Genomic DNA, 16,498 nt, shown 5'->3' on the forward strand with positions numbered 1-16,498 from the left:
AAGGCCTGGTGCCTTCCACACTTGAAGTTATGAGCCTCTAGCTCCCAGGACTTTCTTACTGTCCATGCTACTGTGACCCCTTTAGTTTGTTTTCTCAAATGATTTTTTTTAATCCACATTTTACTCATTCCGCATTATTTAAAGATGAATTAGTAGTCCACCTTCAATGCTAATGGCATAATTCAGACTCATAGGACCTTTATGTCTAATAAAAATTTTTAATTACCTATTTACACCAAAGTCAATGAGTAGCTCTGCACTTGATGACATATTTTTTTTTTTTTTTTTGAGTCAGAGTCTCACACTGTCACCTAGGCTGGAGTGCAATGGTGCAATCTTGGCTCACTACAACCTCCGCCTCCCAGGTTCAAGTGATTCTCCTGCCTCAGCCTCCCAAGTAGCTGGGATTACAGGCACCAGCCACCATGCCTGGCTAATTTTTTGTATTTTTAGTAGAGCCGGGGTTTCGCTATGTTGGCCAAGCTGGTCTCAAACTCCTGACCTTGTGATCCACCCACGTTGGCCTCCCAAAGTGCTGGGATTACAGGCATGAGCCACCATGCCCTGCCCAACGATACATTTTGTTTGTTTGTTTGTTTGTTTGTTTGTTTTTAATTATACTTTAAGTTCTAGGGTACATGTGCACAACGTGCAGGTTTGTTACATATGTATACATGTGCCATGTTGGTGTGCTGCACCCATTAACTTGTCATTTATATTAGGTATATCTCCTAATGTTATCCCTTCCCCCTCCCCCCACCCCACAACAGGCCCCGGTGTGTGATGTTCCCCTTCCTGTGTCCAAGTGTTCTCATTGTTCAGTTCCCACCTATGAGTGAGAATATGTGGTGTTTGGTTTTTTGTCCTTGCGATAGTTTGCTGAGAATGATGGTTTCCAGCTTCCTCCATGTCCCTACAAAGGACATGAACTCATCATTTTTTATGGCTGCATAGTATTCCATGGTGTATATGTGCCACATTTTCTTAATCCAGTCTATCATTGTTGGACATTTGGGTTGGTTCCAAGTCTTTGCTATTGTGAATAGTGCCGCAATAAATATATGTGTGCATGTGTCTTTATAGCAGCATGATTTATAATCCTGCGGGTATATACCCAGTAATGGGATGGCTGGGTCAAATGGTATTTCTAGTTCTAGATCCCTGAGGAATCACCACACTGTCTTCCACAATGGTTGAACTAGTTTACTGTCCCACCAACAGTGTAAAAGTGTTCCTATTTCTCCACATCCTCTCCAGCACCTGTTGTTTCCTGACTTTTTAATGATTGCCATTCTAACTGGTGTGAGATGGTATCTCATTGTGGTTTTGATTTGCATTTCTCTGATGGCCAGTGATGATGAGCATTTTTTCATGTGTCTGTTGGCTGCATAAATGTCTTCTTTTGAGAAGTGTCTGTTCATATCCTTCGCCCACTTTTTGATGGGGTTGTTTGTTTTTTTTCTCATAAATTTGTTGGAGTTCTTTGTAGATTCTGGATATTAGCCCTTTGTCAGATGAGTAGATTGCAAAAATTTTCTCCCATTCTGTAGGTTGCCTGTTCACTCTGATGGTAGTTTCTTTTGCTGTGCAGAAGCTCTTTTGTTTAATTAGATCCCATTTGTCAATTTTGGCTTTTGTTGCCATTGCTTTTGGTGTTTTAGACATGAAGTCCTTGCCCATGCCTATGTCCTGAATGGTATTGACTAGGTTTTCTTCTAGGGTTTTTATGATTTTAGGTCTAACATTTAAGTCTTTAATCCATCTTGAATTAATTTTTGTGTAAGGTGTAAGGAAGGGATCCAGTTTCAGCTTTCTACATATGGCTAGCCAGTTTTCCCAGCAACATTTACTAAATAGGGAATCCTTTCCCCGTTGCTTGTTTTTCTCAGGTTTGTCAAAGATCAGATAGTTGTAGATATGTGACATTATTTCTGAGGGCTCTGTTCCATTCCACTGATCTATATCTCTGTTTTGGTACTGGTACCATGCTGTTTTGGTTACTGTAGCCTTGTGGTATAGTTTGAAGTCAGGTAGCATGATGCTTCCAGCTTTGTTCTTTTGGCTTAGGATTGACTTGGCAATGCAGGCTCTTTTTTGGTTCCATATGAACTTTAAAGTAGTGTTTTCCAATTCTGTGAAGAAAGTCATTGGTAGCTTGATTGGGATGGCATTGAATCTATAAATTACCTTGGGCAGTATGGCCATTTTCACGATATTGATTCTTCCTACCCATGAGCATGGAATGTTCTTCCATTTGTTTGTATCCTCTTTTATTTCATTTAGCAGTGGTTTGTAGTTCTCCTTGAAGAGGTCCTTCACATTCCTTGTCAGTTTTATTCCTAGGTATTTTATTCCTTTGTAGCAATTGTGAAGGGGAGTTCACTCATGATTTGGCTCCCTGTTAGTCTGTTATTGGTGTATAGGAATGCTTGTGATTTTTGCACATTGATTTTGTATCCTGAGACTTTGCTGAAGTTGCTTATCAGCTTAAGGAGATTTTGGGCTGAGACGATGGGGTTTTCTAGACATACAGTCATGTCATCTGCAAACAGGGACAATTTGACTTCCTCTTTTCCTAATTGAATACGCTTTATTTCCTTCTCCTGCGTGATTGCCCTGGCCAGAACTTCCAACACTATGTTGAATAGGAGTGGTGAGAGAGGTTATCCCTGTCTTGTGCCAGTTTTCAAAGGGAATGCTTCCAGTTTTTGCCCATTCAGTATGACATTGGCTGTGGGTTTGCCATAAATAGCTCTTATTATTTTGAGATAAGTCCCATCAATACCTAATTTACTGAGAATTTTTAGCATGAAGGGTTGTTGAATTTTGTCAAAGGCCTTTTCTGCATCTATTGAAATAATCATGTGGTTTTTGTCTTTGCTTCTGTTTATATGCTGGATTACGTTTATTGATTTGTGTGTGTTGAACCAGCCTTGCATCCCAGGGATGAAGCCCACTTGATCATGGTGGATAAGCTTTTTGATGTGTTGCTTGATTTGGTTTGCCAGTATTGTAAATCTTTGTATGAGAGTGCCAGAAGTCTTATTTTATTTCAATTATTTTATTTAGTTTAAACCTAAAGAAGACTTTATTGACCCATATGATCAAAGCACTTAAAGGATGAATAAAGCTGGCTTAAGGTACATGGGAATCAGAGGCTTCTGTGTTGCCAGGAGTTTCTTCCCGTGTTTCCCTTCTCTATTCTTCTAGTTTCTGTGGCGGCAGGTTTCTATGATCAGAGGATGTGGTTCCCACACTTCCATGCTTAGCCCGTATTGTCTCCATTATAAGAGAAAAGATACCCTCTTTTTTCAGGTTTAATTATAAAAAGCTTAAGGGAAAGGTGTCAGGGAAAAAAATCAATTAAAGCTCGTGACATATTATTGGAGGAAATGATAATCTTTCAAAGTTGTTTTCCCATTCATGGAGAGTTGTTATTGAATATTTTATGAAAAAGTTTTAGCTGAACTTTTACACTACCTTTAGCCTCTGAAAGAAATCACTTGCTTAAATTAAAATAAATAGAGAAGGTCTTATATCTCAGATGTGAATAGCATCCTACAAATATTTATTTTTATTCACACTGTCACAGCTGAGCAGTGGATTCCAAGGATACTGAGGGAGGTTATAAAATCTAGAACATTGAAAGTAATCTAATTTTAACTGCCACTCAATGCAGAAATCACTGAAAAGTAATATCTTTTTCCTTGTTGATAAACTCAATAATCCAAAGAAAACACAAAGGTCATAATAGTTCTATAAATTTATGATTTATAAATATACATTTAAAACAAGCCAAAGTATTTCTCCCTATAACTGTTTCCATTACTCACAGTTGTAAACCTTAAGTCTTTCTGTCTTCTGTGCTCTCTCTCTCTTTCTCACACACACACAACACAAACACACACACACACTGAATAATTAATTTTCTCCTATATTTAAACACAACCGTAATGTCCTCCAGTACCTAACATTTCATATTTTCCCTTTTCCATCATAACATTTCAGATTTATTCAAATATTTCATAATTTTATATTTAATCACCTAGTTGACATCTTCTGAGAAAACTCTAAATACTCTTTTAAAAATGTAAACAAAAAGCAAATATGATTGTCAGCAAAATGTGTCTTCCTTGAAAACACACCACCATTATGAGTGTACTCTCAATAATTCTGTTAAGAATCCAACCAGTTTTCATGGCAGAAGACATGCACTTGCTCAGTCTTTTAGGCACTGGCATGCCCGGAGAATCTCCCCACACACTAGGCCTGATGACATTACCGATGGAAATGGATGTCCAAGGAAAAGACGTCTGGGGGCCTGGAGCCCCCAAAACAGATCACAAATCAAACTTTGGAAACCAATAAAAGACAAAGAGAACATATTGGAATCAACAGTAAATGAATTTATTACGTGAAACAAAACTGAACTTCCATATACTTTATAAGATGAACTTACGTGATAACGAATCACTTGTTTCAAAATTATAGACATTTGACTCTATATTTTGCTCATTCATTAATTTCACAGTCTGAAAGAACTAGCCTGTCCAGCCAGTACTTGATGCCAGAGAAAGGATGAAGAGCTAGTAGTAAGAGGGGTTAGCTCACATTGCTGGAAATGCCTATGATAACAGCTCTACGTAGAGACTGAGACACTTTGCTTAAAAGGTCTGGAAATTCAGCAAGTTGATCTGCAGAAGGTTGATCCATAGGCTGGTCTGTAACAAGGAGACTGGCAGCTCCTAGAAGCCAAGTAGGTTGGGCGGCAGAATCCAGATCCATAGCCGAGGGAAGGGAAGCCACAGCTTCCATAACCCAGGGATCTGACACCACTGGACCCACAGCCCACTGAGTAGCAGCTCCTCGATCCATAGCCCAGGGAGCGGCAGCTGCTGGATCCAAAGCCTAGAGACCCAGAGTAAGTCGTCTTGCAAGGACTGCAGAGCAAGGAGGTTCTGGGGCGGTAGCAGGAGGTCTGGCAGGGGCTGGACTCCACATAGGACGTCTGGCAGCTGGTGGGCTCCCAGCAGATCTCCTGACAGCCCCTATAGAGAGAGGAACCCAGCTGGCAGGTGCTGGGAGAGCAGAGGTCAGTGCTGTAGACCAGATTGCTGGGGTAGGAAAAGCCACGTGAGGATGCTGGGTAGCGCAGGTAGTCACCACAGGAGCGGGAGGAGAAGTTTCCAGAGCAGCAGTTGTAGGACATGTTGACGGGAGATGTGAGTTCAGCTGAGTTATAGTGGAAAGATTCTCTGAGTTTGAATGTCATAGTCTGGACTCCAAGTTATATATGCTCTTAGACCTGGGTGTGTCCACTGTCTCGACACTCCCTTCTCCTTGCTCACTTTTTATTATAAGAATGCTTCCCTAGGTTATTGTTTAATTTATCACATCTTCATATACTTACTTGTACTTTAGTCACTCTGGAACACTTAGAAGGAAGCCACTCAGTTTTTTTTTTTCCTGGAATTCACTGTGGTTTGACCTTCAATGTTATATGTCATCACATTTATGAGTATCTTGCCTCTTATTATTTGAGTACAGTGAGTCCTTATTGTACCAAATGGAATTACACAAAATTCTTTCTTTACTTCCCTTAAGTTATCAGGAGCATCAGTGGTTACTACTCAAAATAGATTGTCCTTCTTTTTAACACAAGCATATTATTTGTTACCAGAAACGGAGGATTTCTCCAAATACTAACTGTATTCAGTAGCCTCAGCAATCTGTCAGTTAAACCTTTTACTAGTACCTTAAGAGCTCAGGATCAGAACTGAGGAGTGCAGCATTATGTTGGGTGTCCATATCAGGCATCTTCCTTAACAAGAGGCTACTTTAGACAATGCTCACTTAGGAAACAATAAACACAAACTTTTTAGTAAGACTTTAAATTGAAGTTTTTCAGATATTTTCTGATGAACCTATCTTGTAGCAAGCACTATTCTATGGTTATGCTCTAAATCAACTCATAAATTTTATTTTGTTTTATGTTTCAATTTTTTTTTCTGGATAAAAGGACAGATTCTTAGCTGCAATTATTAATTTATACTTAAACTTTGAGGAATTGTTAACATTTTTCTGAAGCTTTTAACTTGAAGTATTAGAGTTATATGGGTCTTTAAACATCCCCTGTTCAACCCATACATGGAAAAATTACCTCTCAGAGAGCTTTAACTTTCCCCTAATTTCTCAGTAAGATAGAAGCAAAATTGAAGCTTTAATTATGGTTTTCTTATTCAGAGTCAAGTTGCAAATACCTTGCAAATATAAAAGTAAATTCAACTTTAACTTGTCTCAGAAAAGAAACTATTAAGCTTATTTATACTAAGATATAAAAGCCTAACAAAGCCTTATTTACTTTTCCTAACAATATTCACACTGAATAGTGTTCAACTGGGGAATTCTATGCCTTACTGATCTTCATACATTTGAAGTATATTTCACTTCCTAGCCCAAGAAAGAGAAAGAATATTGGTAATCCATGTTTAGATTAATGGGGGGAAGAGGCTTCTTATCTGTGTCTATTCTTCTTCTTTTGAATTTGACATTTTATTTGGTTTAACTAAGGGAAATGGCATTCACAATGGTTATCGAAAAGAGAGCCTCTTAACTACCTGAAAATTAACTTCCTTCATTCCAAAGCACACTGTTTCAGAGCACTTAGTTACTTTGTTTTATGATTATCTCTCCCATGCAGAATCCAAAGTGTGGCATGCATCACATGAAGTGCCCTTGTGCAATACTTAAACCATCACTCTGATTCACTGAAGTAAAATAAGCTGTGCTTTATGAATGGACACCTATTAAATTCACCAAAAAGTATGCACCACCCCCAACACATGGGATTCCTTATAATGGCAGCTTTTAACACCTTTAAAATGAGAAATATTTTTCTTTTCTTACTACAGGTTGATTCTGCTCAAAAAAAAGAAAACAAAAAACTTACTAATATCCAAAAGTTCTTGCCTTTCTAGACCAGCTCCCTATGTCTGGGAATAAACACTAAAATAACTTGGGAGTAAGTCAGTTCCAATTAACAGTCCCTCCACCCATTCCTAATTGGGTTAACACTTTTTATTAGGAGTTATTTGTGCACTTTGTACAAATGCTAATGAACAACTCCCAAATGCTAATAAATGTGTCCATCTGAAAGGCAGAAAAAGCAGAACAAAACTAGAGTAGCCTTAACAGTTCAAAAGTGGATTCTGGAACTAATAAAATACTCTACGTACTCTACATACACAGGCAAAGTATTAGTATAGAAAGAAAAATTCACTATCTTGATATGTCAGGGAAAACGTGATATTGAAATCTTTTCTCTCTCTCTCCTTCCTTCCTTCCCTCCCTCCCTCTTTCTTTTTCTTTTTCTTTCTTTTCTTTCTCTGCCTCTCTTTCCTTTTCTTTTTCTTTCTTTTCTTTCCCTCCCTCCCTCTCTCTCTGCCTCCTTCCCTCCCTTTCTCCCTCTCTCTCTTTCTCTGTTTCTCTTTCTTTCTATTTCTTTCTTTCTTTTCTCTTTCTTTCTTTCTTCTTTCTCTTTTCTCTTTAGAAATTTAGGCATAACAACACTACAGAGAATAAAACTATCATTACAGTACACAGTAGCCACAAGTAGCCTATGATCTGAATTACTTGAAAAGTGATTGTTTTTCCAAGTTAACATAGTAATGTAGCAGAAGCTTTAAACTGACAATCTTCTATTGCAATGTTTCCAGAGATTCTTCAAAAGCTTTCAAATTAACCAAATATTAGGCAGTAGTAGAAATAGTAAAAATCCATATATACTGCCCTATACCTTTTTTACTTTCTTTTTTTTTTTTTTTTTTCCGAGACGGAGTCTGGCTCTGTCACCCAGGCTGGAGTACAGTGGTGCAATCTTGGCTCACTGCAAGCTCTGCCTCCCGGGTTCACACCATTCTCTTGCCTCAGCCTCCCGAGTAGCTGGGACTACAGGTGCCCGCCACCACGCCTGGCTAATTTTTTGTATTTTTAGTAGAGACGGGGTTTCCCCATGTTAGCCAGGATGGTCTTGATCTCCTGACCTCATGATCCACCCGCCTCGGCCTCCCAAAGTGCTGGGATTACAGGCGTGAGCCACCGCGTCCGGCCACCTTTTTACTTTCTGTTCACTTTTTAATTTTCTGCCTTCTCTAGACCTAGGAGAGGCTTTTATTGTCTGGTCACTAAAGAGTCTTCATAACAGCTGCTTTACACTAGATTTTATTTTTAAAATTCTCACCCAAGGGGAAATGTATCTATTAAACATTAATGCTAACTATGAAGAACCCACTACTGAGTAAAGGCTTGATGAGAACTCCCTGGACTAACCTGTTCATGGTCTCTTCCCAGTCCCCCATGCAAGCCTACCCAGGCCTGTGGCTTTCTCGGAGGTCATCCGGCCTCATTGTTTGAGACTTTTCCAGGCCCTGGCACCTCCTCTAACTTCACTACAGCTCTTCCTGCTTCAAATTCATCCATTTTATGTCTTCATCATCCATGACTTTCGTTTGAAATAAAAAGGCCAGGCTGGGCGCAGTGGCTCACGCCTGTAATCCCAGCACTTTGGGAGGCCGAGGCAGGTGGATCACGAGGTCAGGAGTTTGAGACCAGCCTTTCAAACATGGCGAAATCCCGTCTCTACTAAAAATACAAAAATTAGCCAGGCGTGGTGGCAGACATCTGTAATCCCAGCTACTGGAGAGGCTGAGGCAGGAGAATCGCTTGAAACTGGAAGGCAGAGGTTGCAGTGAGCCAAGGTCATGCCACTGCACTCCAGCCTGGGCGACAGAGTGAGATTCCGTCTCAAACAAACAAACAAACAAAAAGATTTATAAACAGCCTGCTTACACACCTCTCGGTTCTTCTTATCTCTTCTGAGACCTTACCCTTGCATTTACTGAAAACAAATAGAAAATTAAAGTAAATTCTAGAGTCATTTTCTGGATGCCTAAACTCACAATTGTTACCACGTTGTCAGATTTGCGTTCATCTTTCTCTTTTTTATTTTAAATGTTTATGGATACATAATGTTGCGCATATTAATGGGGTACATGTGATATTTTGATACAGGCACACGATGTGTAATGATCAAATCTGGGTAACTGGCATATCCATCACCTTAAACATTTATCATTTTTTTTGTGTTGAGAACATTCCAAATCTACTTTTCTAGTTATTTTGAAATATGCAATACATTATTGTTAACCACAGTTGCTGTACTGTGTTACTGAACACTAGATCTTATTCCTCCTATCTAACTATATTTTTGCACCCATTAACCAACACCTCTCTGTCCTTTCTTTCCACTACCCTTGCAAGCCTATGGTAACCACCATTCTATTCGCTATCTTACAGAGAGAGACCCCTTGTGGGCCAGTCTCTCAGTCTGATTCTTTTTCATATCTTTCCAAAGGCATCACAATAATGCATTCGTTTTTGCATAGCATTCCAGGAAATTGTCTATACATATATTTATCGGTTTATACCATTTATTGTTGTTTTAAGTTACAAAAATGCCATCTTATTGGATACATATATGTATCTGTAGCTTTCTTTTTATATTAAATTTATTTAAATAAAAATATCTAAAACATATCCAAGTTGATATTTATATATTTGTGCATTTATTATCACTACAGTAGAACTTTTAAATGTCAGGCACTGTTCTCAGCACTGTATTACAAATATTAACTCAATCCTCATAATAATTCTACATGGTACACACCACTTTTATTCTTGTTTTATAGCTGAGGAAGCTGAGACACAAACAGATTGAGTTACTTGCCAAAGCTACCCATGTAGTTAGTAGCAGAGATGAGATTTGAACTGCAATACTGACACCATTGTCAGACTTTATGCAAATAACCATGTTGCTATGATACACACATCTAGTTTATTCCTTGTTACAAATTTATAGAATTCTACTGTATAAAAATATTTTATTGATATATCGCTCTACCATTCTTGATTTTTTACTATCACAAACCATGTGGCAAGAAATATACTTCTATATAGGCCCTTGCATCTACTGTCTAGGGCTTCTGGAACATGTATATTTAGATGCAATTGCTGGACATACATAATTTCAATTCTAGCATGGTAGTTACGATCAAGGCTTTTGGATTCAGGCTGGCAGAGTTTGAATCCCAGCTCCATCACTTAGCTGTGTAACTCAGACCTGTTTTAGTTTCTCATATTTTGTTATCTTTTAGCCATTATTCTATGGAGTCATTTGTTCTTTTAAATGTATTTTTAGAGAATTTGTGCATTCTTTTTGTATGCCTTTGTCTTTCATATGTTGCTAATATATTCCTCTGGTCAGTTGTTTGACTCTTTTGTAAAGTCAGATCTGTGGATACACAGTTCCCATAAAATGAAATGCACCATTTTTAGGAGTACAGTTCAATGGGTTTTTTCCTTTCTGTTCTTTTTTTGGTGGAGGGGGCAAGGGCTTGCTCTGTTGCCCAGGCTGGAGTGCAGTAGTGTGATCATAGCTCACTGTAGCCTCCAACTGCTGAGCTCAAGTCATTCTCCTGCCTCAGCCTCCTGAGTGGTTAGGACTATAAGTGCATACCACAACCCCTAGCTATTTTTTTTTCTTTTTTTTTTGTAGAGGCAGATTCTCACTGTGTTGTCCAGTTTAGTCTTGAATTCCTGGCCTCATGCAATCTTCCTGCCTTGGCTTCCCAGTTCAATGAGTTTTGACAAACATATATAGTTATGTAATCATCAATTGATTGAGATAGAGTATTTCCATTATTTCTAGAAATTCTCCTGTGCTCCTTTGGATCAATCTGCTTCCCCAATATCTAAATTTCTGTTCCTATAGTCTTATTTTTTGAACTGCATGATAAAAGGAATTACACATTACGTTGCCTTCTGTGTTTAACTTCCTTCACAGAGCATAATGCTTTTGAAATTCATCCATGTTGTTGCATATTCCAGTAGTTTATTCCCTTTTATTGCCAAGTGGTATTTCATTGTATGTACGCTATACACTAGAAAATGGACATTTAGATGATTTTGAGTCTGGAGTTACTGTGGATAAAACTGCTATAAACATTCACATACAGATAATTTTGTGGACATATGTAATATGGTTTGGCTCTGTGTGCCCATTCAAATCTCATCTCTAATTATAATCCCCACATGTCAAGGAAGGGACCTGGTGGGAGGTGATTGGATCATGAGGACGGTTTCCGCCATGCTGTTCTGATGATAGTGAGGGATTTCTCATGAGATCTGATGGTTTTAAAAGTCCCAGTTTCTGCCTGTGTATACTCTCTTTCTCTCCTGCCACCATGTAACATGTGCCTTGCTTCCCCTTCACCTTCCACCATGATGTAAATTTCCTGGTGCCTCTCCAACCATGAGGAACTATGAGTCAATTAAACCATTTTTCTTTATAAATTACCCAGTCCTAGGTAGTATCTTCATAGCAGTGTGATAACAGACTAATACAGAGAATTGGTACCAGCAGAGTTGGGTACTGCTATAAAGATAAACTGAAAATGTGGAAGCGACATTGGAACTGGTAACAGGAGGAGGTTGGAACAGTTTGGAGGGCTTAGAAGAAGACGGGAAGATGTGGGAAAGTTTGGAACTTCCTAGAGACTTGTTGAATGGTTTTGACCAAAATGCTGATAGTGATATGAACAACGAAGTCCATGCTGAGGTGGTCTCAGATGGAGATGAGGAACTTATAGGGAACTGGAGCAAAGTCACTCTTGCTATGCTTTAGCAAAGAAACTAGTGGCATTTTTCCCCTGCTTTAGAGACCTGTGAAACTTTGAACTTGAGAGAGATGATTTAAGGTATCCGGTGGAAGAAATTGCTAAGCAGCAGAACATTCAACATGTGACCTGGCTTATTCTGAAAGCATTCAGTTATGTGTGTTCACAAAGAGATGCTTTGAAATTGGAACTTATTTTAAAAAGGAAGCAGAGCATAAAAGTTTGGAAAATTTGCAGCCTGACCATGTGATAGAAAAGGAATACCCATTTTCTGCAGAGGAATTCAAGCTGGCTGCAGAAATTTGCATAAGCAACGAGGAGCTGAATGTCAATAGCCAAGACAATGGGGAAAATGTCTCAGGGGCATGTCAGAGACATTTACAGGAGCCATTGTCATCACCGGCCTGGAGGCCTGGGAGGGAAAAATGGCTTCATACATTAGGATCAGGGCTTGGCTGCTCTGTGCAGCTTCAGGACTTGATGCCTTGTGTCCCAGAAGCTCCAGCTCCAGCCATGGCTGATAGGGGCCAGGGTATAGCTACAGCTGTTGCTTCAGAGGGTGCAAGTCCCAAGCATTGGTGGCTTGCAAGTGGTATTGGGCCTGCAGATGTGCAGAAAACAAGAGTTGAGGTTTGGGAACCTCTGTCTAAATTTCAGAGGATATATGTAAATGCTTGGAAGTCCAGACAATAGTCTGCTGCAGGGGCAGAGCCCTCATGGAGAACCTCTGCTAGGGCAGTGCAGAAGGGAACTGTGGGGTGTGAGCTCCCACACAGAGTCCCCACTGGGGCACTGTCTGGTGGAGCCATGAGAAGGCCACCATCCTCCAGACCCCAGAAATGTAGATCCACCAACAGCTTGCATTGTGTGTGTGGAAAAGCCACAGACACTCAATGCCAGCCTGTGAAAGTAGCCATGAGGACTATAACCTGCAGAGCCACAGGAGAGAAGCTGCCCAAGGCATTAGGAGCCCACCCCTTGCATCAGCGTGTCCTGGATGTGGGACATGAATTCAAAGGAAATTATTTTGGAGCTTTAATATTTAATGGCTGTGCTACATGGGGCCTGTATCCTTTTTGTTCTGGCCAATTTCTCCCTCTTGGAATGTGAACATTTACCCAATGCCTGTACCCCCATTGTATCTTGGAAGTAACTAACTTGTTTTTGATTTACAGGCTCATAGGCAGAAAAGGACTTGCCTTATCTCAGATGAGACTTTGAACTTGGACTTTGGGGTTAATTCTGGAATAAGTTAAGACTTTGTGTGACTGTTAGGAAGGCATGATTGGTTTTGAAATGTGAGAAGGACATGAGATTTGGGAGGTGCCAAGGGCAGAATGATATGGTTTGGCCCTGTGGCCCCACCTAAATCTCATCTTGAATTATAATCCCCACATGTTGAGGAAGGGGCCTGGTGGGGGGTGATTGGATCATGGGGGGTGGTTTCTACCATGCTGATCTTGTGATAGTGAGGAACTTCTCATGAGATCTGATGGTTTTGCAAGTAGTAGGTTCCCTTGTGTGCTCTCTCTCTCTCCTGCCGCCATGTAAGATGTGCCTTGCTTCCCTTTTACCTTCTGCTATGATTGTAAGTTTCCTGAGGCCTCTTCAGCCATGCAAAACTGAGTCAATTAAATCTTTTTTCTTTATAAATTACCCAATCTCAGGTAGTATCTTTAAGGCAGTATGAAAACAGACTAATACAATATGTTTTCAATTTTCTTAGGTAAATACCTATGCATGGGATTACTGGTTTATATGGTAACCACATGTTTAACATTATAAAAAACTGACAAACTATATTCCACAGTGGCTATACCATTTTGCATTCCAATAGCAATGTATGAAAATCTCACTTGTTTCACAGTCTCAACCGCACTGTATGTATTATCCTTATTATTTTGTCTATTCTAGTTGGCATGTAATGGTGTCCCATTGTGGTTTCAATTTGCATTTCTCTAATGAATAATAATATTGAACATTTCCTCATGTGCTTTTTGCCTCCCATACTTCTCCTTTAGAGGTGTCTGTTCAAATCTTTTGAACATTTTCTATGTGTGTTATCTCATTATAATTATATTCTTACTGTTTTTTTACACAGAAGACTAAGATTCAAATCCTCTATCAAAGTATATGTTTTTACAATATTTTCTTCCAGTCTGTGACTTTTAATTTCATTTTCTTATTAAAGTCTTTGAAAACAGATGTTTCTAGTTTGATGAAGACTAATTTAGCTAAAAATCTCTTGGTATATCGTGCATCAGGGTGACCTGGATGTGAGACATGGAATCAAAGGAGATCATTTTGGAGCTTTAAGATTTGACTGCCCAGCTGGATTTCAGACTTGCATAGGGCCTATAGCTTCTTTGTTTTGGACAATTTCTACCATTTGGAAAAGTTGTATTTACTCAATGTTTGTACCCCCATTGTATCTAGGAAGTAACTAACTTGCTTTTGATTTTACAGGCTCATAGGCATAAGGGACTTGCATTGTCTCAGATGAGACTTCGGACTGTGGACTTTTGAGTTGATGCTGAAATGAGTTAAGACTTTGGGGAACTGTTGGGAAGGCATGATTGGTTTTGAAATGTGAGGACATGAGATTTGGGAGGGGCCGGGGTGAAATAATACGGTTTGGCTGTGTTTTCACCAAAATATCATCTGGAATTGTAGCTCCCATAGTTCCTATGTATTGTGAAAGGGACCCAGTGAGAGATAATTGAATCATCGGGGTGGTTTCCCCCATACTGTTCTCACAGTAGTGAGTAAGTGTCAGGAGATCTGATGGTTTTATAAGGGGTTTTCCTTTTTACTTGTCTCTCATTCTGTCTTGCCTGCCTCCATTTAAAACATGCCTTTCGCCCTCCATCGTGATTGTGAGGACCCCCACCCACTTGGAACTGGGAGTCCATTAAACCTCTTTTTCTTTATAAATGACCCAATCTTGGGTATGTCATTATCAGAAGCATGAAAACAGTCTAATACACCATCTTATCTTGGAATTTTCATTGTTAGAATTTTTTTACTCTTAATTTAATTTATTTTGTAGATCCAGGGCTAGTCAGGCTGTCTAGGTATTTTTGAGTGAGCTCTCTTAGTTTGTGCCTGTTAAGAAATTTTTTCATTTAATCTGTGGTATTGCTGTAAGTGATCTCAGGGTCCAGCAACAATGGTTATATCAATCTGCTTGATCTGCAGACATATCAGAAATAGTGACAACCTGTCTTTCAACCATAGGAATAACATAAGCCATTGCTAGGGGCACCCTGGCCAGAAAGTAAGGCAAGTTCATTTATATTGTCTTGGACATAAACTGAACCAAGAAGAGATGAAAGCAACAATGTCATATTTATTATTTCACCCTATTTTGTTTTGTTTCTATGTTAATAACTTCTGCCACAGCACTATACTTGTCCTTTTGTACAGTTCATGTGAATAAAATATTATCATGTATCTTTATTAAAAATATGTTAAAGAAACCAAACATCTTTTGAATAACATGACTCTTCACAGCCTACAATTATAATACATGCTCCAGTTGAACAGGTGCCCTAGTTCTCTTCTCTTCATCATTTTGCATGGACATGCATGACCACTTCCCTACCTGACTTGATCTCAGTGTCTTGCTTGGCAGTATGTTACTGAGGTGACAGAATGTGGTGACATGTTTTTCTCCTTGCACTTGTGAAGTTTGTCACTTGAGTGCTAGATGGACCACTTAACTGATGCAGGCTAGTAGACGTCCTCAATCTTTGTCAGTTTGCTTTTCAGTTTATAAACACTACAGATTCTTCTAAGAAGATTGAGAAATATTCAATTTCTCTTTTGTTTTCAAAACTTAGTATTCAAATCTCCATCTTGAAAATTGTCAAAGACGCACGTAATCTAGCAAAAAAGAAAAATTTATAGGGCTAGAGAGGGAGTCAGTAACAGAGTTACTGTGTTCCTTGCTTTTTGCTTGTGTGTTCATTCTAATTCAGCACTATAGCATAACAGAAACAAAGTCTCATTGGGAACTGAGCAAAGCACAGACATATTTAACATAAGACATAAGAATAAGGTGTTACTAAACCTACCAAGTAAATAGTGTGAGAAACCACTGATTGTAATGTTTTATCTCTTACATTAATAGAGATGAGTTTTCATGTCTTAGAATGGAAACAACACTGAATTACAGCAAGTTATTTTAGCTCTTACATATGCCAGAGGCAGGACTGGATGGCTGCTGTAGGTCCTAACAATTGCAGAATTCTGTGACTTGAAGGTGAAAATCAAGTTCTTATAATTCAGTTTCCACAATGAGTTTCCATATGACTACATTGTTGTTTAGTTTTGTTTTTTGCTAGGTAGTCCTACACTGTAAAGTTGCAGTGAGATTCAAGAAGCACGTGATCAATTGGTTAGACAGATATTGATAGTTAATAATGAAAATGTCAGCTATTTCTTGAAGAGAGTTTTAGTCAGGGTCCTCCAAAGAAACAGAACCAATAGGGTGTGTATGTGAGTGTGTGGGGGTGTGTGTGTGTGTGTGTAATATGTGTGTTTGTGTATGAAGAAAGAGAAATATTTATTTTAAGGAATTTGTTCATGCAACTGTGGGGGCTGACAACCCTAAAATCTGCAAATTAGGCCAGCAGGCTAGAGATTCAGGTAAGAGTTAGTAAGAGTTGATGATGCAGTCTTGAGTCTGAATTCACAGTGCTGTAAGCGGGAAACTCAGGCAGTTTCTATGTTGCAGTCTTGAGAATCCCTTCTTTCTCAGGAAA

At 39.1% G+C, this 16,498-nt stretch overlaps 1 protein-coding gene and 1 non-coding gene across 2 annotated transcripts; both read right to left on the reverse strand.

Moving 5' to 3' along the window:
• Nucleotides 1-4,385: 4,385 nt before the first annotated feature.
• KRTAP13-2 (keratin associated protein 13-2) lies at nt 4,386-5,267 on the reverse strand. Its single transcript, NM_181621.4, has one exon. The coding sequence runs from the start codon at nt 5,207-5,209 to the stop codon at nt 4,682-4,684; it is 528 nt and encodes a 175-aa protein (NP_853652.1). The 5' UTR covers nt 5,210-5,267; the 3' UTR covers nt 4,386-4,681.
• Nucleotides 5,268-8,289: 3,022 nt separating this feature from the next.
• MIR4327 (microRNA 4327) lies at nt 8,290-8,374 on the reverse strand. Its single transcript, NR_036221.1, has one exon. It is a non-coding gene; the product is annotated as a microRNA 4327 (primary transcript).
• Nucleotides 8,375-16,498: the final 8,124 nt, after the last annotated feature.

Source organism: Homo sapiens, chromosome 21 (assembly GCF_000001405.40).
Source record: "Homo sapiens chromosome 21, GRCh38.p14 Primary Assembly".
Lineage (NCBI taxonomy): Eukaryota > Metazoa > Chordata > Mammalia > Primates > Hominidae > Homo > Homo sapiens.

Bases quoted from the DNA above. Each gene is read 5' to 3' on its own strand.
- KRTAP13-2 (NM_181621.4), bottom strand. From the start codon at position 5,209: ATGTCCTACAACTGCTGCTCTGGAAACTTCTCCTCCCGCTCCTGTGGT.